The following is a 22,869-nucleotide window of genomic DNA, read 5'->3' as shown; positions in this document are numbered from 1 at the left end:
AGTGAGTGCAATGGCGTGATCTCAGCTCACCGCAACCTCCACATTCCAGGTTCAAGTGATTCTCCTGCCTCAGCCTCCTGAGTAGCTGGGATTACAGGCATGCACCACCATGCCCGGCTAATTTTGTATTTTCTTTAGTAGAAACGGGGTTTCTCCATGTTGATCAGGCTGGTCTCGAACTCCCGACTTCAGGTGATCTGCCTGCCTCGGCCTCCCAAAGTGCTGGGATTACAGGCATGAGCCACTGCACCCAGGCAGTATTTTTTAAATTTAAATTATTTTGTTTGGGAAAACTAAGACACATCATAATCAAATTGCTCAAAGCCAGAAATACACAGAATCTTAAAAGCATCCAGAAAAATAAAGACACATTATATACAAAGGAACAAAAAAAGAAAAGGATGGGCCAGGCACGGTGGCTCATGCTTGAAATCCCAGCACTTTGGGAGGCCAAGGTGGGCGGATCACAAGGTCAGGAGATCGAGACCATCCTGGCTAACACGGTGAAACCCCGTCTCTACTAAAAATACAAAAAATTAGCCCAGCGTGGTGGTGGGCGCCTGTAGTCCCAGCTACTCGGGAGGCTGAGGCAGGAGAATGGTGTGAACCCAGGAGGCTGAGCTTTCAGTGAGCCGTGATCGCGCCGCTGCACTCCAGCATGGGTGACAGAGTGAGACTCCGTCTCAAAAAAAAAAAAAAAGAAAAGGATGACAGCAGACTTTTTGTCAGAAACAATGCAGATTACATTAAAAATGAGCAACAAGGCCGGGCACAGTGGCTCACACCTGTAATCCCAGCACTTTGGGAGGCCAAGGCAGGTGGATCACCTGAGGTAGGGAGTTTGAGACCAGCCTGGCCAAGATGGTGAAACCCCATCTCTACTAAAAATACAAAAATTAGTTGGGCATGGTGGTGCGCACCTGTAATCCCAGCTACTTGGGAGGCTGAGGCAGGAGAATTGCCTGAACCCGGGCAGTGGATGTTGCAGTGAGCCGAGTTTGCACTACTGCACTCCAGCCTGGGCAACAGAGTGAGACCCCATCTCAAAAAAAAAAAATGAGCAACAGATTTGAATAGGCACTTCTCCAAAGACATACAGATGGCCAATAAGCACATGGAGAGAAACTCAACATCACTATTAACTAGGGAAATGCAAATCAAAACCACAATGAGATACTACTGCATACCCATTAGGATGGCTATTATAAAAAACCAAAACAAAACAGAAAATAACAAGCATTAGTGAGGATGTGAAGAAATTAAAACCTTTATGCATTCTTAGTGGGAATGTATATGGTACAGCAACTGGGAAAAACAGCATGATGGTTCCTCAAATAATTAAACATAGAATTACCATTTGATCTAGAAATTCCACTTCTGGGTATATACCAAAAAGAATTGAAAGCAGAGTCTTAAGAGATATTTCTATACTCATGTTCATACCAGCATTTTGCACCATAGCCAAGAATTAGAAGCAACCCAGTGTCTATGAATGGATAAATAGATAAACAAAATATGACATACATAATGGAATGTTATTTAGACTTAAAATAGAAATGAAATTCTGACACATGGTACAACATGGATGAACCTCGAGGATATTATGCTAAGTGAAATTACTCACAAAATGACAAATACTATATGAGTCTTAGATGAGGTATTTAGAGTAGTCGAAGTTATAGAACTAGAAAGTAGAATTGTGGGTCCCAGGAGATGAGGGGAGAGGAAATGGAAAGTTATTTAATGGGTAGAGTTTCAGTTTTGCAAGATGAGCTCCAGCCTGGCGACAGAGTGAGACTCCATCTCAAAAATAAATAAATAAATAAATAATTAGGCCAGGTGTGGTGGCTCACACCTGTAATCCCAGCACTTTGGGAGGCCGAGGCAGGTGAATCACCTGAGGTCAGGAGTTTGAGACTAGCTTGGCCATCATAGTGAAACCCTGTCTCTGCTAAAAAAATACAAGAATTAGCTGGGATGGTGGTGGGCACCTGTAATCCCAGCTACTCCAGGGGCTGAGGCAGGAGAATCACTTGAACCTAGGAGGTTGCAGTGAGCCGAGATTGCGCCACTGCACTCCAGCAGCTTGGGCAACAGAGAGAGACTCTGTCTCAAAAAACAATGAAAAAATAAATAAAATAACAGTTAGAAATTAGCCAGGCTTAGTAGTGTATGTCTGTAGTCCTAGCTACTCAGGGGTCTGAGGTGGGAGGATTACTTGAGCCCAGAAATTTGAGGCCATAGAGAAGTATGATCATGCCACTGCCTTCCAGCCTGAGTGACAGAGTGAGACCCTGTTTTTAATAATAATACCAATAATAATAGACTTCAATACCTTCCTTCAATAAGCGGTAGAACAACTAGGCCACAAGGACATAAAAAACACAAATAATACTAAACCAACTAAACATAATAGACATCCACATCTATAGAACAACGCTCCACCGAACAACAGCAGAATACATGTTCTTCTCAAGCACATATGGGACATTTTCCAGGATAGGCCATATGCTAGTCATAAAACCAACCTCTATACATTTTAAAGAACTGAAGTCATACAAAGTAAATAGTCCAACACATTGCTTACACTGGAGAGCAGTAACAGAGGAAACTTTGGGGAATTCACTAATATGTGGAATTTTAATTACATACTCCTAAATAATAATGGGTCAAAGGAGCAGCCACAAGAGAAATAAGAAAATCATTGGGAGAAAAATGTAAATGAAAAAACATCATCCCCATATTTACACAATATAGCCAAAGCAGCACTTAGGAGGAAACTTATAGTTGTAAATGCCTATATTAAATAAGGACCTCAAATTAGTAACCTTTCACTTGAAGAATCTAGAAACAACCAAATCCAAAGCAAGCAAAAGTAAAGAATAACAAAGATTAGAGCAGAAATACAGGCAATAGAGACTAGAAAAATCAAGGAAAGCAGAAGCTGGTTCTTTGAAAAGACCAACACAAATTGATAAACCTTTAGTTAGACTTACTAGGAAACAAAAAGAGAGGACTCAAATTACTAAAATCAGGAATGAAAGAGGAACATCCCTACCCACCTTAGAGAAACAAAGAAAAATATATATATGAAAATATTATGAGCAATTGTATGCCAAAAATTATATAACTTAGATGAAATGAACAAATTACTAGAAAGATACAAACTGCCAAAGCCCATGACTCATATTCACATTTTCTTTTTCTAGTTCAAGAATAAAAAGAAAAAGAAAATATGAATATGCATATAACCATTAAAGAAGATTGAATGAGTAATTTTAAAAAACTTTCCCAAAATAAATGTCTAAGACCAGATGGCTTCACTGGTGAATTGTACCAAATATTTAAGAAGAAATAATAGCAATCCTTCACAACTCTCCCAAAAAATCGAACAGAAGGGAACATGTCTCAACACATCCTGTGAGGCCAATTTACTCTGACACCGAACCAGAGAAAGATATCATAAGAAAAAGAAATCACATAGTAAGAACTCATTTCTAAAAAAAAGATTTTTTTGGCCGAGCTTGGTGGCTCATGCCTGTAATCCCAGCACTTTGGGAGGCGGAGACAGGCAGATCACCTGAGCTCAGGAGTTTAAGAGCAGCCTGGGCAATATGGTGAAACCCCATCTTTACTAAAAAAATACAAATATTAGCCGGGCATGGTGACGGATGCCTGTAGTCCCAGCTACTCCGGGGGCTGAGGCAGGAGAATCGCTTGAACCCGGGAGACGGCGGTTGCAGTGAGCTGAGATCATGCCACTGCACTCCAGCCTGGGCGACAGAGGAGACTCTGTCTTTAAAAAAAAAAAAAAAAAAAAAAAAAAAAAAAAAGCCTGGGCACAGTGTTTCATGCCTTTAATCCCAGCACTTTGGGAGACCGAGGCGGGCGGATCACGAGGTCAGGAGAGCGAGACCATCCTGGCTAACACGGTGAAACCCCGTCTCTACTAAAAATACAAAAACAAAATTAGCCAGGCGTGGTGGTGGGCACCTGTAGTCCCAGCTACTCAGGAGGCTGAGGCAGGAGAATGGCATGAACCCGGCAGGCGGAGCTTGCAGTGAGCCGAGATCCTGCCACTGCACTCCAGCCTGGGTGACAAAGACTCCATCTCAAAAAAAAAAAAAAAAAATTTAATTAGCCAAGTGTGGTGGTGCACACCTGTAGTCCCAGCTACTTGGGAGGCTGAGGTGGGAGAGTCACTTGAACCCAAGAATTAGAGGCTGCAGTGAGCTATTATTGCCCCACTGCACTCCAGCCTGGGTAACAGAGCAAGACCCTGTCTCAAAAACAAACAAACAAACAAAAAAAAAGGTGCAAGCAAGCCAAGTATCCACTGATAGATGAATGGATAAATACAAAGTGGTATATACGTACTATGACCTTGAAAAGGAAGGAAATTCTGGCACATGCCACAACATGGGTGGACCTTGAAGATGTTTTGCTAAGTGAAAGAAGCCAGTTACAAAAGGTCAGGTCTTAAAAGATTCTGTTTATATGAAATGTCCAGAATACAGGCAAATCTATAGAGGCAGAAAGTAGATTAGTAGTTGCCAGGTGTTGTGGGAAGGGTGAAATTGAAACTAATTGCTAAGAGCCTGGGCAACATGGTGAAACCCCATCTGTACAGAAATACAAAAACTAGCCAGGTGTGGTGGTGCACACCTGTGGTCCCAGCTACTTGAGAGGCTGAGGAGGTCGAGGCTGCCATGAGCCATGACTGTATTACTGCACTCCAGCCTGGGCAACAGAGTGAGGCCCCGCCTCAAAGAAAAAAGAGAATGAGGCCGGGCGCGGGGACTCATGCCTGTAGTCCCAGCACTTTGGGAGGCCGAGGCAGGTGGATCACGAGGTCAGGAGATTGAGACCATCCTGGCTAACACGGTGAAACCCCATCTCTACTAAAAATACAAAAAATTAGCCGGGTGTGGTGGTGGGTGCCTGTAGTCCCAGCTGCTCGGGAGGCTGAGGCAGGAGAATGGCATGAACCCGGGAGGCAGAGGTTGCAGTGAGCCAAGATAGTGCCACTGCACTCCAGCCTGCGCAACAGAGTGAGACTCCATCTCAAAAAAAAAAAAAAAAAGAAAAGAAAAAAGAAAAAAGAGAAGGGGAGGGAAGGGGAGGGGAGAGGAGAGCTAATAAGTGTACTGTTTCTTTGGTGGGTGATATAAATGCTCTGGAATTAAATGGTGATGGTTGTGCAACACAGCTTTAACATGGGTGAATTGTGTTACGTGAATTATATATTTAAATTTAAGTAGTATTGTATTATATGGATGTATATAGTATACTCACACTTTAACATAGTGAATTTTGTTATGTGAATAATATATTTAAAATGACTATAAAAGTAGAATAAAAGGAAACACCGTTTTATAATATATAAAACTGCAAAGGGAAATAGGCAAATTCACAATTACTGTCAAATATTTTAATATTCCAGCTGGGTGCGGTAGCTCACACCTGTTATCCCAGCAGGCCTTTGGGAGGCCGAGGTGGGCAGATCACGTGAGGTCAGGAGTTTGAGATCAATCTGGCCAACATGGCAAACCCCATCTCTACTAAAAATACAAAAATTAGCTGGGCATGGTGGCGCATACCTATAATCCCAGCTACTCAGGAGGCTGAGGCAGGAGAATCACTTGAGCCTGGGAGGCAGAGGTTGCTGTGAACCGAGATCATGCCACTGCACTGCCGCCTGGGCAACAGGGCAAGACTCTGTCTCAAAAAAAGAAATTAATATTCCTATCTTAATAATAGAACAAGTAGACAGAAAGCAAGTAAGGATATGGAAGCCTCAAAGAACACTGTTAACCCACTTGACCTAATTGACATTTCTATGACATCCATACAGCAGCAGAATAGACATTATTTTCCCGTGCATATAAAACATTTAAAAAGACAGGCCATACTCTGGGCTGTAAAAATATCCTCAATACATTTTAAAGGATTCAGAGTACACAGAGTATGTTCTTTGATCTCAATAGAATTAAATTAGGCATCAATAACAGAAAGGTCTCTGAAAAATTCCCAAATATTTGTAAACTAAAACATACTTCTAAATAACCCATAGATCAAAGAAGAAATTAAAAGAAACATTAGAAGGTGATTTGACTTGAATTAAAATAGAAATACGGAAAAAAAAAAAGAAATACGGCAGGGTGCGGTGGCTCATGCCTATAACCCAGAACTTTGGGAGGCCGAGGCAGGTGGATCACTTGAGGTCAGGAGTTTGAGACCAGCCTGGACAACATGATGAGACCCCCATCTCTACTAAAAATACAAAACTTAGCTGGGCATGGTGGCACACTCCTGTAATCCCAGCTACTCAGGAGGCTGAGGCATGAGAATCGCTTGAGCCCAGGAGGCAGTGTTTGCAGTGAGCCGAGATGGCGCCACTGCACTCCAGCCTGGGACACAGAGTGAGACTCCATTTCAATAAATTAATAAATTAATAAATTAAATAGAAATACAATGCATCAACATTTTTGGGGTATCATTAAAGTAGTGGCAGTTATTTAAACAGACATTTCACCAAAGAAGATGTACACATGGCCGATATGCACATGAAAAGATGCTCAATATCATTAGTCCAAGGAAATGCAAATTAAAACCGCAGTGTGATACCACTTCACACCTACTAGGAGGATTAAAATGAAAGAGACTGACCATAGAAAATGCTGGCAAAGATGTGGAGGAACTGGAACTCTCACACACAGCTGGTGGGATGAGAAATTAATTGTGCAAACACACTTTAGAACACATTTGGATGGTTTCTTAAAAAGTTGAAACAGGCCAGGTGCGGTGGCACACGCCTGTAATCCTAGCACTTTGGGAGGCCGAGGCAGGCTGATCATGAGGTCAGGAGATTGAGACCATCTTGGCTAACACAGTGAAACCCTGTCTCTACTAAAAGTACAAAAAATTAGCCGGGCATAGTGGTGGACGCCTGTAATCCCAGCTACTCAGGAGGCTGAGGCAGGAGAATGGTGTGAACCCGGGAGGCGGAGCTTGCAATGAGCCGAGATTGCACTACTGCACTCCAGCCTGGGCAACAGAGTGAGATTCCATCTCAAAAAAAAAAAAAAAAAAAAAAAAAAGTTGAAACATATACCTACTGTATGAGCTGGCTATTCCACTCCTGGATGTGTACCCAAGAGGAAAGAAGATATGTTTATATAGAGACTTGTACATAAATATCCTTAGAAGCTTCCTTTGTAAGAGCTAAAAGGTAGAACAACCCAACTGTCCATCAACATGTGATAAACAAATTGTGATACATCCATATAATACAATACTATTTAACAATAAAAAGGAACAGGCGGCCGGGTGTGGTGGCTCATGCTTGTAATCTTAGCACTTTGGGAGGCCGAGGTGGGTGGATCATTTGAGGTCAGGAGTTCGAGACCAGACTGGCCAACATGGTGAAACCCCCCCTCCTACTAAAAATGCAAAAATCAGCCAGGCATAGTGGCAGGTGCCTGTAATCTCAACTACTTGGGAGGCTGAGGCAGGAGAATTGCTTGAACCTGGAAGGCAGAGGTTGCCGTGAGCCGAGATTGCACCACTGCACTCCAGCCTGGGTGAAAGAGTGAGACTCTGTCTCAAAAAAAAGGAGGGCCAGGTGCAGTGGCTCACGCCTGTGCTCACGCCTGGGTGCAGTGGCTCCCAGCACTTTGGGAGGCCAAGGCGGGCAAATCACAAGGTCTTGGAGTTCGAGACCAGCCTGGCCAACATGGTGAAACCTCATCTCTACTAAAAATACAAAAAATTAGCTGGGCATAGTGGCAGGTACCTCTAATCCCAGCTACTCGGGAGGCTGAGGCAGGAGAATCACTTGAACCCGGGAGGCGGAGGTTGCAGTGAGCCAAGATTGCACCACTACACTCCAGCCTGAGTGACAGAGTGAGACTCCATCTCAAAAAAAAAAAAAAAAAAAAAAAAAGGAACAGGCGCAGTGGCTCACACTTGTGATCTCAGCACAGCATTTTGGGAGGTTGAGGCAGGAGGAGTGCTTGAGCCCAGGAGTTGAAGGTTGTAGTGAGCTATGATCATGCCACTGCACTCCAGCCTGGGTGACAGAGCAAGACCCTGTCTCTAAAGAAAATGAAAAAGAAACAAACTAAGGACAAATGAAGAATATAGATGAGTCTTAAATTAATTATAATGAATGAAATAAACCAGATAAAAAAGAATATCTACAATATGATTCAATTTATTTACATTTCTAGAAAATGTTAACTAATCTATAGTGACTGAAAGCAGATGGGGGATGTGGGGGATGAGAGGTATTTGCAAAGGGGCTGGGGGAACCTTTGAGGAGTGATGGATGTATTCACTACCTTGATTGAGAAGATGGTTTAACAGTGTGTACATAAGTCAAAATGTATCACATTTTACCAACAATCTACCAAATTTCTATCAAACTTTAAATGTATGCATTTTCTGTTGGTCAATTATACCTCATTTTAAAAACAGAATTCAGGCCCAGCGCAGTGGCTCACTTTAGGAGGCCGAGGCGTGCGAATCACCTGAGGTCAGGAGTCAAAGACCAGCCTGGCCAACATGGTGAAACCTGTCTCTACCAAAAATACAAAAATTAGCTGGTCATGGTGGTGCATACCCGTAATACCACTACCCAGGAGGCTGAGGCAGGAGAATCACTGGAACCCAGGAGGCAGAGGCTGTAGTGAGCCGAGATCGCGCCACTGTACTCCAGCCTGGGCAACAGAGCGAGACTCCGTCTGAAAAAAAAAAAAGTTAAAAAATAAAATGATAAAATAAAAACAGGATTCAGCCAGGTGTGGTAGCTCATTCCTGTAATTCTAGCACTTCGGGAGGCTGAGGTGGGAGCATTGCTTGAGTCCAGGAGTTTGAGACCAGCCTGGGCAACACAGGAGACCCCACCTCTACAAAAGAAATTTTTTTTTTAATTAGCCAGCCTAATGGTGTGTGCCTGTAGCACTAGATACTTGGAAGTCTGAGGAAGTCGAGGCTGTAGTGAGCCCTGATGGTGCCACAGCACTCCAGCCCAGGCAGCAGAGTGAGACTCTGTTTCTAAAAACCAAGCAAACAAACAAACAAACAAACAAACCTCAAAAGTTTTATCCAAGAAACGGAAAGAAAAAAGACAAGTGAAATTGAGACAGTGTTCACATTGCTACATTGCCAAATCCATCTTTTCCTGAAGCTGTAGTCGCTTGCCAGTAACATGGGCTGGTAAATTCGCCTTGTAATTAAACCAGTCTAAATTGTGCTTTCTGCCACTTGCAACTGAGAATCCTGGGTAGTACAGTCCAGATCTCCGAGGGGTTGAGATGGAGGCTAGAATGGAAGTTGTGCGTGGGTGCAAGGAATCAGAGGCTTCACATATCTTAAAGGTAGAAGTGGCCGGGCATGGTAGCTCACGCCTGTAATCCCAGCAATTTGGGAGGCAGAGGCAGGTGGATCACAAGGTCAGGAGTTTGAGAGCAGCCTGACCAATATGGTAAAACCACGTCTCTACTAAAAATACAAAAATTAGCCGGGTGTAGTGGCTTATGCCTATAATCCCAGCTACTCAGTAGGCTGAGGCAGAAGAATCACTTGAACTCAGGAGACAGACATTGCAGTGAGCCGAGATCGTGCCACTGCACTCCAGCCTGGGAGACAGAGCGAGACTCTCAAAAAAAAAAAAAAAAAAAAAGGTGGAAGTGGCAGGAAAGGATAGCAGATCCTCCAGACAATAGGGAAAAGGGCTCTTGCTTGGCCTCCCAGCTGCGGGTAATGTGCTGCTCATATGGATGCACCAGTGTTGTTAGCCTACGAAGGATGTGGATACCTGCTTGGTTGCCACATGCTGTCATGAAAAGAGGTTTGGATGGGAACGCTGGCAATGTAGTCCTACCTCTGCCACTGGTTGCTGTGTGACCTTGGGTAAGTTGCAGTCTCTCTGGCCTTGAGGGACTCAACAGTCATAGGAAGGGGTTGACAAATGGCTTCACACACATTGTCGCTGGAATGTATCCATCCTCTCAAGAAGCAGATTCCGCACGTGGCTGTGGATGGAAACATGGACCTGCTAAGCTAACAGAAGAATGATTATGAATATATCTGGGAATGTGGCTGTATTGTAGGAAATGATTACAAGATTGTGGGGTGCGTCCTTGTCTGTCGTCCTCTCACCCCACACAGTCAATAGGCCCTACCACATCAAAATGTGTCACGTTTTATCAACAGCTGCTATGAAGGGTTGCTACTGTCCCATGGACTGAAATTGAATACTTTTCCTATCCTCATGTTTCCTAGTCGCCCAATACATATAGTGAATAAAAGCTCAGGACCTGGAGGCCAGGCAGGGTGGCTCACATCTGTAATCCCAGCACTTTGGGAGGCTGAGGTGGGTGCATCACTTGAGGTCAGGTGTTCAAGAACAGTCTGCTCATGAGCTGAGATGGTGCCACAGCACTCCAGCCTGGGCGACAGAGTGAGACTATGTCTAAAACGAACAAACAAACAAACAAAAAAAACTCAGGGCCTGAAGTCAGACAGATATAAGTTTTAATCCTAGTGCTGCCAGTACCTGGCTGTGTATCTTTGGCCAAATCCCTTAATCTTTCTGAGCATCAGTTTCTGAAGGATGGGAGATAAACATTGTGTCAGATGACAGGCTAGGTTATGTTGCAATACCAATGCCAAAATCTCAGTGCCTTAACAATGGTTTATTTCCTACTCATTGTGGTAGGCGGCCTCTAAAATGGCTCCCAGAATCGCTTGAACCTGGGAGGCAGAGGTTGCAGTGAGCCAAGATTGTGCCACTGCACTCCAGCCTGGGTGATAGAGCAAGACTCAGTCTCAAAATAAAGAAATAGCTGGGCTCATGCCTGTAATCCTGGCACTTTGGGAGGCCAAGGCGGGCAGATCACCTGAGATCAGGAGTTCGAGACCAGCCTGACCAACATGGAGAAACCCCATCTCTACTAAAAATACAAAATTAGCCGGGAGTGGTGGCGCATGCCTGTAATCCCAGATACTCGGGAGGCTGAGACAAGAGAATCGCTTGAACCTGGGAGGCAGAGGTTGCGGTGAGCCGAGATCGCTCCATCGCACTCCAGCCTGGGCAACAAAAGCAAAAACTCTGTAAATAAATATGGTGGCTCACGCCTGTAATCCCAGCACTTTGGGAGGCCGAGGTGGGCGGATTATGAGGTCAGGCGATCGAGACCATCCTAGCTAATATGGTGAAACCCCGTCTCTACTAAAAATACAAAAAAAAAAAAAAAATTAGCCAGGCAGGGTGGCATGCACCTGTAGTCCCAGCTACTCAGGAAGCTAAGGCAGGAGAATCATTTGAACCCGGGAGGTGGAGGTTACAGTGAGCCGAGATTGTGCCACTGCACTCCAGCCTGGGTGACAGAGCGAGACACCATCTCAAAAATAAATAAATAAATAAACAAACAAAGAAAACAAAAAATAAGATAAAATGACTCCCAATAAACCCTGCCTCCTGACACGCTGTTGGAACATCCCTGCTCTTGAGTATCAGCTACACCTAGCAACTCACTTCTAATGGATACACTATGGCAAAAGGGATGGGACATTAATTCCAAGATTAGGTTACAAAAAGCCTATGACTTTAGCATTACTTCTCTTCCCTTTCCCATCCCCTTCAGCATCCTCCTCCCCCTCCCCCTCCCCCACTCCTCCCCTCTCCTATTTTCTCTTTCTCTGAGAATCCATCTGCCGTGTTCTGAGCTCCTTTATGGAGAAGCCCATGTGGCAAGCAACTGAGCAAGGCCCCTGGCCAATAGCCAGCAAGCAACTGAGGTCCTCAGTCAAGCAGCCTATGAGTAGCTGAATCATTCCAGCGACCATGTAAATGAACTTGGAAACAGACTATTTCCAGTGAGCTTTCTGATGAGACCACAGCCCTAGATAATACCCAATTGCTGTCTTGTGTGAGACCTTGAGGGAGAGGCAGCCAGCTAAGCCATGGCAGAATTCCTGAAACACAGAAATTGTGACATAATAACTGAGAAATAAAAAATGTTAAGCTTCTATGTTTGGGGGTAATTTGTTTTACTTTATATATATACATATAAAATAAAACAAATATATATATAGAATAAAACATGTATATATATACACAAATATATATAAAATAAAACACATATATATACACAAACAGACACACATACACATTTCCAGTGTGGGTTCAGAAGGGTGGTTGGTGGCTTGCCCATCCTATCCTGGTGCCCTGACACTTAAAGCTCCCACCCAAAAGTCAAACATGCCACTTCTACTTGTGTTTCAGTGGCCAAATAAAGTCACATAGTGATAACAAAATTCTAAGGGTGTGAAAGGAAAATAAATGGAATATTTGTGAAAAGCCTGGAGGATTCTACAATAGCACCTGCCTGGAAGGATTATTGTGGAGACAAGGCCTACAAACTGCTCTAGAGCCAGGCACGGTAATTCACACCTGTAATCCCAGCACTTTGGGAGGCGGAGGCAGGCAGATCACTTGAGGCCAGGAGTTTGAGACCAGCCTGGCCAAAATGGCAAAACTCTGTCTCTACTAAAAATACAAAAATTGGCTGGGCAGCTAGGCGCAGTGGCTCACGCCTGTAATCCCAGCACTTTGGGAAGTCCAAGGCGGGCGGATCACGAGGTCAGGAGATCGAGACCATCCTGGCTAACACGGTGAAACCCCGTTTCTACTAAAAATGCAAAAAAAATTAGCCGGGCTTGGTGGCGGGCGCCTGTAGTCCCAACTACTCGGGAGGCTGAGGCAGGAGAATGGCGTGAACCCAAGAGGCGGAGCTTGCAGTGAGCCGAGATCGCGCCACTGCACTCCAGCCTGGGCGACAGAACAAGCCTCCGTCTCAAAAAAAAAAAAAAAAAAAAAAAAAAAAATTGGCTGGGCATGGTGACTCACACCTGTAATCCCAGCACTTTGGGAGGCCGAGGTGGGCAGACTGACTGCAGTCAGGAGTTTGAGACCAGTCTGGCCAACATGGTGAAACCCCGTCTCTACTAAAAATAAAAAAAGAAATTAGCCAGGCATGGTGGTGTGTGCCTGTAATCCCAGCTACTTAGGAGGCTGAGGCAGGGGAATTGCTTGAACCAGGGAGGTGGAGGTTGCAGTGAGCCAAGATCGTGCCACTGCACTCCAGCCTGGGTGACAGAGCAAGACTCCATCTCAAAATAAATAAATAAATAAATAGAAATGGAGAATGTGGAAGGTGTTTACAACAGTGCCTGACACTGTTCCTGCCCCTCCCCAAGTGCTATCTACTATTCCTTTTTTACAAGTTATCACTTGAAAAAATTTGTAGACATTACTGAATCCGAAAATGTTTTGCATTTGAAAATCTGGACAAATCTGAGATTGCTATAGACAAGCATTTCTCAAGGGAGACATACCAGGATCCTCCTCACTCCCTATATTCTAGCTGCACTGGCATTTTTTTCTTTTCCTGAAACACACCAAGCTTGTTTGGATTTTAAGACCTTTGCCCACCATGCATATCCCTCTGTCTCCAACTCTGGCCCCACATCTCTCTTAACTGGCTCTTTCTCATCCTTGAGGGCTCAAAGAAGCATTTCCTGACCTTCCTATACCCCCATCGCCATGCTTTATTTTCTTCATAACACATATTACTATCCAAATTATGTATTTGCTTGCTTATTGTTTTACTCTCCAAACCAGAACTTCATGTGACCCGGGACATTCTGTCTTGTTCACAGACATATTCCCAGCATCTGGCAAAGCCTTGACACATATTTGATACAAAGTAAATGTGTGTTCAAAGAATAAAAGAACAAAAGATTAAATGTATCATATCCACCCACTGCTGAGCCATCCTTCCTTGTGAGGCATTCTCAAGTAATTGCCAGATTTTACAAAATTCTGGCTTAAAAAAAACTACAGGTGAGAGGGCTGGGCCCGGTGGCTTACGCCTGTAATACCAGCACTTTGGGAGGCTGAGGCAGGTGGATCACGAGGTCAGGAGATCGAGACCATCTTATCTAACACAGTGAAACCCCGTCTCTACTAAAAATACAAAAAAAAAAATTAGCCAGGCATGGTAGGGGGGACCTGTAGTCCCAGCTACTCGGGAGGCTGAGGCAGGAGAATGACATGAACCCAGGAGGCGGAGCTTGCAGTGAGCCCAGATTGCGCCACTGCACTCCAGCCTGGGCGACAGAACGAGACTCCATCTCAAAAGAAAAAAAAAATACGAGTTAGAGGCCAGGCACAGTGGCTCATCCCTGTAATTCCAGCACTTTGGGAGGCCGAGGTGGGCGGATCACCTGAGCTCAGGAGTTTGAGACCAGCCTGGCCAACATGGTGAAACCCCATCTCTACTAAAAATACAAAAATTAGCCAGGCATGGTGGCACACACCTGTAATCCCAGCTACTTGGGAGGCTGAGGCAGGAGAATCACTTGAACCTGGAAGGTAGAGATTGAGATGAGCCAAGATCACTCCACTGCACTCCAGCCTGGGTGACAGCGAGACTCTGTATAAAAAAACAAAACAAGGCCGGGCACGGTGGCTCACGCCTGTAATCCCAGCACTTTGGGAGGCCGAGGCAGGCAGATCATGAGGTCAGGAGATCGAGACCATCCTGGCTAACACGGTGAAACCCCGTCTCTAATAAAAATACAAAAAATTAGTCGAGTGTGGTGGCAGGCGCCTGTAGTCCCAGCTACTTGGGAGGCTGAGGCAGCAGGATGGCGTGAACCCGGGAGGCAGAGCTTGCAGTGAGCCAAGATAGCGCCACTGCAGTCCAGCCTGGGCGAAAGAGTGAGACTCCGTCTCAAAAAAAAAAAAAAAAAAAAAAAAAACAAGTTAGAATATATTCAGGTTTATCCCTATAATCACGTCTCTTTCAGTCATTTGTTTTTGAGAGGAAAGAGAAGGGTGGAATTTAGCTGTTTTGAATTTAGCTTTTAGCTGTTTTGAAATGTTATTTGCATGCTGGCTCATCTGGAGGCCACGGTCCAGATGCTCTCAGAATTTAGCACCATCAGAATTACCTGCAGGCTTGTTAAGCTCAGATTTCTGGAAATCACCGTTTTTTTTTTTTCGAGACAGGGTCTCACTCTCTCACCGAGACTGGAGCGCAGTGGCATGATTTCAGCTCACCACAACCCCCACCTCCCAGGCTCAAGCGATTCTCCTGCCTCAGACTCCCAAGTAGCTGGGATTACAGGTGTGCACCACTACCGCCTGGCTAATTTTTATATAGGCGTGAGGGTCCGTGCCCAGTTTCAGAGCTCTTGATATAGGAAGTCTACAGTGGGGTCCAAGAATGTGCATTTCCAAGAAGATCCCAAATGACGCTGACGCTGCTGATTGGTGGAGTCACAGTTTGAGAGCAGCTGCCACAACCTAAATAGGCAATAATAAATAAACAATCAAAGTATTATTAGTAGCTGTGGCTACTTTGAATTATTGTAGTGCTTTACTTATCTTCAACATTTTTGGCTTTCACCAAAATCCATGTATATCCATGGAAATGTGTCCCATAAGTCAAAATGTCTGTCTTGTGTGTTGCAAATGATCAAAGATTAAGGACCAATTGCTTCCATAGAACATTCAGGAGCATTTCCATCTTAGAGTACAAGTGCTACAGTCATTCATCTAAACATGTCTCAAGTTCACCAATTTATCCTGGTGAATTTATCTACACTTTCGAAAGAACTATTATTATTACTATTTATTTGAAAGAAACAGGGTCTTACTCTGTCACCCAGGCTGGGGTGCAGTGGCGAGATCATAGCTCATTGCAGCCTTAAATTCCTGGGCTTAAGTGGTCCTCCCACCTCTGCCTCCAGAGTAGCTGAGACAATAGGCATGCACCACCACAACCAGCTAGTTTTTAAAATTTTTTTTGTAGAGACAAAGTCACGCTGTGTTGTCTAGGCTGGTCTCGAACTCCTGGTAAGAGTAAAACTATTAGCATTCAAGGTATAATTATTTAAAGTATAATTATTACTATTCTATTTTATGTTGACTATTGCAATAGCTTCCTGTCTCCCAAGTTATCCATGTGAAGCCAGACAAATCTTTTTAAAATGCAATTTTTGTTGTTGTTGTTTTGTTTTTTGAAGTTGAGTCTCTTTTTATTGTCCAGTCTGGAGTGCAGTGGCCTGATCTCAGCTCACTGCAACCTCCACCTCCCTGGTTCAAGCGATTCTCCTGCCTCAGCTCCTGAGTAGCTGGGATTACAAGCACACGCCACCACACCCGGCTATTTTTTGTATTTTTACTAGAGACAGGATTTCATCTTTCTGGCCAGGCTGCTCTTGAACTCCTGACCTCGTGATCCACCCACCTCAGCCTCTCAAAGTGCTGGGATTACAGGCGTGAGCCACCACGCCCGGTCCTAAAACGCAAATTTGATCCTGCCACCGCTTGCATAAAACTCTCCAGTCCTCCCAATCTTCTCAGGAAAAAGTCCAGTACCTTTAACACAGCTTACATGACCTGGCCCCTGTCCACCTTACAAACTACTCCCCTCCAACCACAAGGACATTCTTTCAGTTCTTCATTCTCAACTAGCATGCTCCTTTCACTTGCAGGGTCTTAGCACCATACTGTCCTCTCACTCAGAAATATTCCTTCCCCCTTATCTTATTAACTCTTCCTCTTTCTTCGTTGCTCAGTTTATGCCATTTCCTCAAGAAAGCCTTCCCTGTTTCTCCCAAGCCAGGTCAATCTCCTCTGTGACATGATTTTATAGAACCATGTTCCATTCCTTCAGACCACTAACTCCTTTTATCTAGGGTCTTCATGTGTTGTCTGCAGGAGAGAAGGACCGAAACTGTTTTGTTTTGTTTTGTTTTGTTTGAGTCAGATTCTTGCTCTGTCGCCCATGCTGGAGTGCAGTGGTGCCATCTCGGCTCACTGCAACCTCCACTTCCCGGGTTCAAGAGGTTTTCCCATCTCAGCCTCCCGAGTAGTTGGGACTACAGGTACCCATCACCAAGCCCAGCTAATTTTTGTAGTATTTTTAGTAGAGATGGCTTTTCACCATGTTGGCCAGGCTGGTGTCCAACCCCTGACCTCAAGTGATCCACTTGCTTCAGTCTCCCAAAGTGCTGGATTACAAGCGTGAGAGACTGCACCAGGCCCCAAGACTGTTTTTACTACCACTGTATTTCTAGTGCCTGGTACAACACATTGTAAGTGTCAGTAAACATATGTTGGATAAAATTTTAAAATGCATGTTTATTTTCTCAGTCCCTACTATGCAGCAAATCCTATGCTGGGCCCTAAAGGGGAACCAAGGTTAGTAAGAGAAATGCTTGACCTTAAGGAACTCCATGCCAGTTAGAAGCAATGGATCCGTAAACCAAAAGTATCTGAGACCAGTCTCAATCGAGAAAGTTTATATTGCCAAGGTGAAGGATGCGATGATAACACGGCCTCAGGAGCTCCTCAGGACATGTGCCCAAGGTGCGGGTACAGTTTGGTTTTATACATTTTAGGGAGACATGAGTCATCGATCAATACATGTAAGATGTACGTTGGTTAGGATCGGAAAGACGGGCTAACTCGGGGCAGTGGGGGGCTTCTACCTTATAGGTAGACTTAAAGATTTTTTGATTGGTAATTGGTTGAAAGAGTTATTATCTAAAGACCTGGAAGTAAATAGAAAGAAATATCTGGGTTATGATTATAAGGGGTTGTGGAGACCAAGGTTTTATCATGCAGATGAGGCTTCCAGGTAGCCTGCTATTCAGACAGAATAGATTGTAAATATTTCTTATCAGTCTTGAGTCTACCAGTCTTAAGGTCTCTGTGTTGATGTTTGTGAGGCATGTCTGACTACCACTTCCCATCATGGCCTGAACTAGTTTTTCAGGATAAATTGGAATGTCCTTGGCTTCAGATAGGGTCCACCAGTCAGTTGGGGGGCTTAGACTTTTATTTTTGGTTTACAGATATCACATGGACTATAGAGACACATTTCTGTAACAGAGTAGAAGTGCAACATGAGAAGAACAAAGTGCTTTAGGCGACAAGCGGAGGAGGGAGACATCAATCCCAGATGGGAAAAATCAATTCACTTTCTGTGTGTGGTGTTACTTATTTATTTATTTTTTGCAGGGAAGGGATCGATTCATTCAACGTACACCTTGAATGAATAACTATAGTTCTCCCTACGTCCTATGCACTGTCCTAAGTGTTTTACGTGGTTAAGGACACTAAGATTTTACAGATGGGGAAAACAATGCACACGACAGTCAAGTGACCCGCTCAACGTCACACAGCTACTAAGTGGTAGAAAAGGCAGTTGAACCCAGGCTGCTTGGCTCCAGAGTCTAATATCACGGGGAAAACCTCACGGGAGACGTGGCAACGAAGTTGTGCTTCATTGAAGTATCTGTCCAGGTGGAAAACCGCAGGGCCTCTCTAGCAAAATCCAGAACCAGAAAATACTTGCTTAATTATGAGTTTCCTTCCTTCTTTTGCCCACTATCCCCATTTAACCTGCGGAGGGATTTCAGAAGTGCAGTGAATAAAGATGCAGGGGACTATGGAACACTAATTTCCGGCTACGGCGAATTCAGGCTGTTTCCATGGAAACAGTAACGGGTGGGCAGCTAGGTATAGTCTCGCGGTGCTTGAACCAGCGGAAGTGACGTCGCCGCTCGCGAGGACCTCAGGTGGATCGCCGCGGCCCCTCCTCCCAGAGCGGCAGCCTTTTCCCGCGCGTGCTGCCTTCGCCGCTCGGGCCGCCCGGGGGAAAACATGGCGTCTGCCCTGGAGCAGTTCGTGAACAGTGTCCGACAGCTCTCAGCTCAAGGTAACGCCCTAGGCCGCCGGGCTGGGCATGGGCGGGTACCGGGAACTGGCCTGGATCCCCAGGCGCCAGCACGGACGGCTGGAACAGCCCTTTTAGTCCTGAGACTCTTCTCCGGGGCCGGGCTTGGGGTTGCGGCGTTTAGATCAGGGCAGGATCGAGCGCGGCCGAGTGTAGGCAGCCCCCTCGCGCTCCGCTGTCCTCGCCGGCCGGCCTCCCCTCCCTCGGGCCGCCGGGAGCCCCCTCCCCCCGGCCTGGGCCCCTTCCACCGGGCGCTTTGCTTGACAGTTTGGGGGCGTGACTTCCGCCAGGAGCCATCTCGGGCGACTATTGGTTCCTTCTGTCTCTCTTGCCTTCGGTGATTGGCGCACCGCCATGTCATCTTTGCCGCCGATCCGCAGCTTGCTGACTAGGCCGCCGGGAGCGGGCGGGAGGCGAGTCCGTTCTGGGTGTCTTGGCTCTATGGCTCGCCTCTGCCAGCTCCTCCGCTGCCAGGCGGCGCACGCTCGGGAACCTGTGCGCCTATTTTGGTCCTACAGAATGCTGCGGAAGCTCTCGCTCGTAGGACTCCATTTCTTCTTCTTTGTTTTTTTTTAGCCGAGGCTGGAGTGCAGTGGCGCGATCTCGGCTCACTGCAACCTCAGCCTCCCGGCTTCAAGCGATTCTCCTGTCTCAGCCTCCCGAGTAGCTGAGATTACAGGCGCCCGCCAGCTCACACGGCTTTTTTTTTTTTTGAGACGGAGTCTCACTGTCTCCCAGGCTGGAGTGCAGTGGCGCGGTCTCGGCTCACCTCAACCTTCGCCTTCGAGGTTCAAGCGATTCTCCTGTCTCAGCCTCCCGAGTAGCTGGGATTACAGGCGCCTGCCCGGCTAATTTTTGTATTTTTAGTAGAGACAGGGTTTCACCATGTTGGCCTGGCTGGTCTCGAACCTTGATCTCAGGTGATCCACTGGCCTCGGCCTCCCAAAGTGCTGGGATTACAGGCATGAGCCACCGCGGCCAGCCCACGCGGCTAATTTTTTCGTATTTTTAATAGAGATGGGGTTTTTACCATGTTGGCCAAGCTGGTTTCGAACTCCTCACCTGAAGTGATCCGCCCACCTCGGCCTCCCAAAGTGCTAGGATTACAGGCGTGAGCCACTGCGCCCGGCCAGGACTCCATTTCTAGGGGTAGAATTGTGATGATTTTACTCGCACTTTCCAGGTTGTTTGGTTCATTCATTGCGTATGAATGTACCGAATTCTGGACCTGAAATTCGAATGATTAGATGCTGGCTGTGAAGGCCCTTTTAACTATCCCGTGCTTCAGTTTCTTCGTCTGCAAAATAAGTCCCTAGTTTATGTAGAGTTGTGAAGATTCAATGAGAGAAACCATGTAAAAGCAGTTGGAACAGTGCCTGTCATAAGGGGTGCAATAAATATAGCTGCAAATTATTGTTACCGTCATTAATTGCAAAGTTCTAGGAGCTGCTTGACCTTGGACAAATAACCTTTAATCTCTGAGTCTTTTGCATCTCCATTGTAAAAATGGAGGGGTGCTTTTACCTCACTGGTGTAAGACAAATGGTCTGATATGGAGCTGCACTTAATAAGAATTCTTCCTCTTTTTCCTTTTTATTAATAGAAATGAGGTTCACAGGGAAGGCACAGGCTTGCCTTTTCTATGAATAAAGGAACCACTGGTTTGTTAATTTATTCGACAAATACTTAGTGTTCTCCTTCCTGGGGTGTAGTGTAGTTAGAAGCTTCAGGTTGAAATCCTGTCGCGGTCACTTCTTGGGTGAACCACTTAATTTCCCTGGGCCAATTTTCTTAATTACAAAACAGAACTAGGGCTGTTGTGGTCTTCAGGTTATAGGATGCTATAGGAACAGTCTGCTAGACAGAGATAAATATGGTAACTTTCATTGCTGTCGGCTACTGTGCCTCACACTCACTGGATAGGAAATCTTTGAGTTTCAGGCCAGGCGCAGTGGCTCACTCCTGTAATTCCAGCACTTTGGGAGGCCGAGGCGGGCGGATCATCTGAGGTCAGGAGTTCAAGACCACCCTGGCCAACATGGTGAAACCCTGTCTCTACTAAAAATGCAAAATTAGCCAGGCATGGTGGCGGGCGCCTGTAATCTCAGCTACTCGGGAGGCTGAGGCAGGAGAATGGCATGAACCTGGGAGGTGGAGCTTGCAGTGAGCCAAGATCGCGCCACTGCCCTCCAGTCTGGGTGACAGAGCAAGACTCCGTCTCAAAAAAAAAAAAAAGAAAAAAAAGAATTTTATTGGCCACATCTCTGGTTACACTGATTTCAAATGCACTCTGTGACACTTAAACTTTTTTTTTTTACTCTGCCCTTGGCCCTGCACTAATTAATTATCTGGTGATTTCATAGTGACCCAGCTTTTATTTCAGTCTCAACTGGGCACTGATTGTTAACTAGTAGAGAACTAATGGATTGCAATGCTTATTTCTGGGTGTTACAAATTATTGTTAATATATTTAGAGTAATGGTTTACAAAGGCAAATTATTCAACTAGAAGTTACTTCATACCTACCAGTGAGATCTGTAATACAATGATGATGAGTTGGTATTTCCCAGTTAAATCTGTGTGATCTCAAGAGGTGACACCTAATAAGATCACAGCTGTTTTATTCTTGTTTTGTAATGCATGTATAATAATGATACATTTCCTTTGCTTTCAGTAAAATGTATCAAATTGAAAAGTGTTAAATTATCAAAAGTACCTAGCTATAGTCACTTGTATTTTAAGCATTATACTATGTTGTATTCTTTTAGTAAGGAAAAGATTATGCAGTTGCTCTGTAGAAATAGAGAAGTTGGAAACTTGAGGTTAATGCCCATGGACTTAAATATATCCTCACTGTTACCAGAAAGACAGAGTGTGACCATGGTATCTGTCATGACAGTAATTGTCAAAATTGATGGGTCTACTTAAAGGTACCAATTCAGGCCTAATTTTTTTTTTCCCCCGAAACGGAGTCTTGCTCTGTTGCCCAGGCTGGAGTACAGTGGCGCAATCTCAGCTCACTGCAGCCTCCATCTCCCGGGTTCAAGGATTGTCCCAGGTTAAAGGATTCTCCCACCTCAGCCTCCCGAGTAGCTGGGATTACAGGTGTGTGCCACCACACCCAGCTAATTTTTGTATTTTTAGTGGAGACAGGGTTTCACCATGTTGGCCAGCCTGGTCTTGAACTCCTGACCTCGAGATATCTGCCCACCTTATCCTCCCAAAGTGCTGGGATTACAGGTGTGAGCCAGCCTGGTCTTGAACTCCTGACCTCGAGAGATCTGCCCACCTTATCCTCCCAAAGTGCTGGGATTACAGGTGTGAGCCACAGCACCCGGCTGAGGCCTAATTATTAATAGATTCTGTACCTTAGTTGTTAAAATGTAGCATTGCAGGCTGAGTGTGGTGGCTCATGCCTCTAATCCCAGCACTTTGGGAGGCCAAGGTGGGAGGATTGCTTGAGCCCAGGAGTTAGAGACCAGACTGGGCAACATAGTGAGACCCCTGTCTCTGCAAAAAACTTAAAAAATAAGATGGGCATGGTGACGTACACCTGTAGTTCCAGCTACTCGGGAGGCTAAGGTGGGAGGATTGCTTGAGCCCAGGAGATGGAGGCTGCGTTGAGCTGTGATCACACCACTGCACTGCAGCCTGAGCGACAGAATGAGACCCTGTCTCAAAAAACAAAACAAAACAAACATAGTATTGCAGTATAGGGGAAAAATAGATCAATTAGGAGATTAATTCAACAAGTAGCTGCTTGATGAACTGCTAAGCAGGTGATGTATTCTAGAGCTGGAGAAAGGGACAATCCCTCCACCTGAGTTTACTGAAATACCTAACCACTACAGTCCCATGCGAGGCAGAGAGGGCAGATACCCAGCTTAGCCATGGGGAAGGGAGCTGAGATGAGGGTCTAGAGACGCCACAAGTTGATTGCTGAATGCTGGATGAGGCTCAGTCAGGTAGCAGAGGATGTGGGGGAGAAGGACAGAGAACAGCATGTGTAGAAGCATAAAGAGGAGAGAAGATAGAATGTTGATTTTCT

General features: G+C 45.2%; 1 protein-coding gene across 8 annotated transcripts in view, besides 5 other annotated features; it reads left to right on the top strand.

Annotated features, from left to right (window-relative positions):
- Positions 1,599-1,688: an enhancer, noted in NCBI's record as "active region_11798". NCBI's record gives its function as "activates an Ori minimal core promoter by ATAC-STARR-seq in GM12878 lymphoblastoid cells {active_cell/tissue: GM12878}" and the evidence as "EXISTENCE:reporter gene assay evidence [ECO:0000049][PMID:35858748]".
- Positions 4,475-4,534: an enhancer, noted in NCBI's record as "active region_11797". NCBI's record gives its function as "activates an Ori minimal core promoter by ATAC-STARR-seq in GM12878 lymphoblastoid cells {active_cell/tissue: GM12878}" and the evidence as "EXISTENCE:reporter gene assay evidence [ECO:0000049][PMID:35858748]".
- Positions 18,492-18,591: an enhancer, noted in NCBI's record as "active region_11796". NCBI's record gives its function as "activates an Ori minimal core promoter by ATAC-STARR-seq in GM12878 lymphoblastoid cells {active_cell/tissue: GM12878}" and the evidence as "EXISTENCE:reporter gene assay evidence [ECO:0000049][PMID:35858748]".
- Positions 18,689-22,869, top strand: part of COPS3 (COP9 signalosome subunit 3) — a 34,631-nt gene continuing 30,450 nt past the window's right edge. For 7 of the 8 annotated variants that reach the window (NM_001316358.2, XM_047436961.1, NM_001316356.2 and 4 more), the window contains exon 1: positions 18,689-18,803. Coding sequence is in view for 2 of the 8 variants with exons in the window: in NM_001316355.2 (NP_001303284.1) it covers positions 18,749-18,803 (55 nt within the window). In the remaining 6 variants the exon portion in view is untranslated. Of the gene's footprint in view, positions 18,804-19,236; positions 19,362-22,869 lie in introns of those variants that run through there. The other variant, NM_001199125.1, reaches the window with a different exon arrangement.
- Positions 18,812-19,051: a silencer, noted in NCBI's record as "silent region_8239". NCBI's record gives its function as "represses an Ori minimal core promoter by ATAC-STARR-seq in GM12878 lymphoblastoid cells {active_cell/tissue: GM12878}" and the evidence as "EXISTENCE:reporter gene assay evidence [ECO:0000049][PMID:35858748]".
- Positions 19,242-19,301: an enhancer, noted in NCBI's record as "active region_11795". NCBI's record gives its function as "activates an Ori minimal core promoter by ATAC-STARR-seq in GM12878 lymphoblastoid cells {active_cell/tissue: GM12878}" and the evidence as "EXISTENCE:reporter gene assay evidence [ECO:0000049][PMID:35858748]".

Source organism: Homo sapiens, chromosome 17 (genome assembly GCF_000001405.40).
Source record: "Homo sapiens chromosome 17, GRCh38.p14 Primary Assembly".
NCBI lineage: Eukaryota > Metazoa > Chordata > Mammalia > Primates > Hominidae > Homo > Homo sapiens.
Note: the sequence above shows the minus strand (reverse complement) of the source record. Positions and strands in the feature narration are given on the sequence as shown.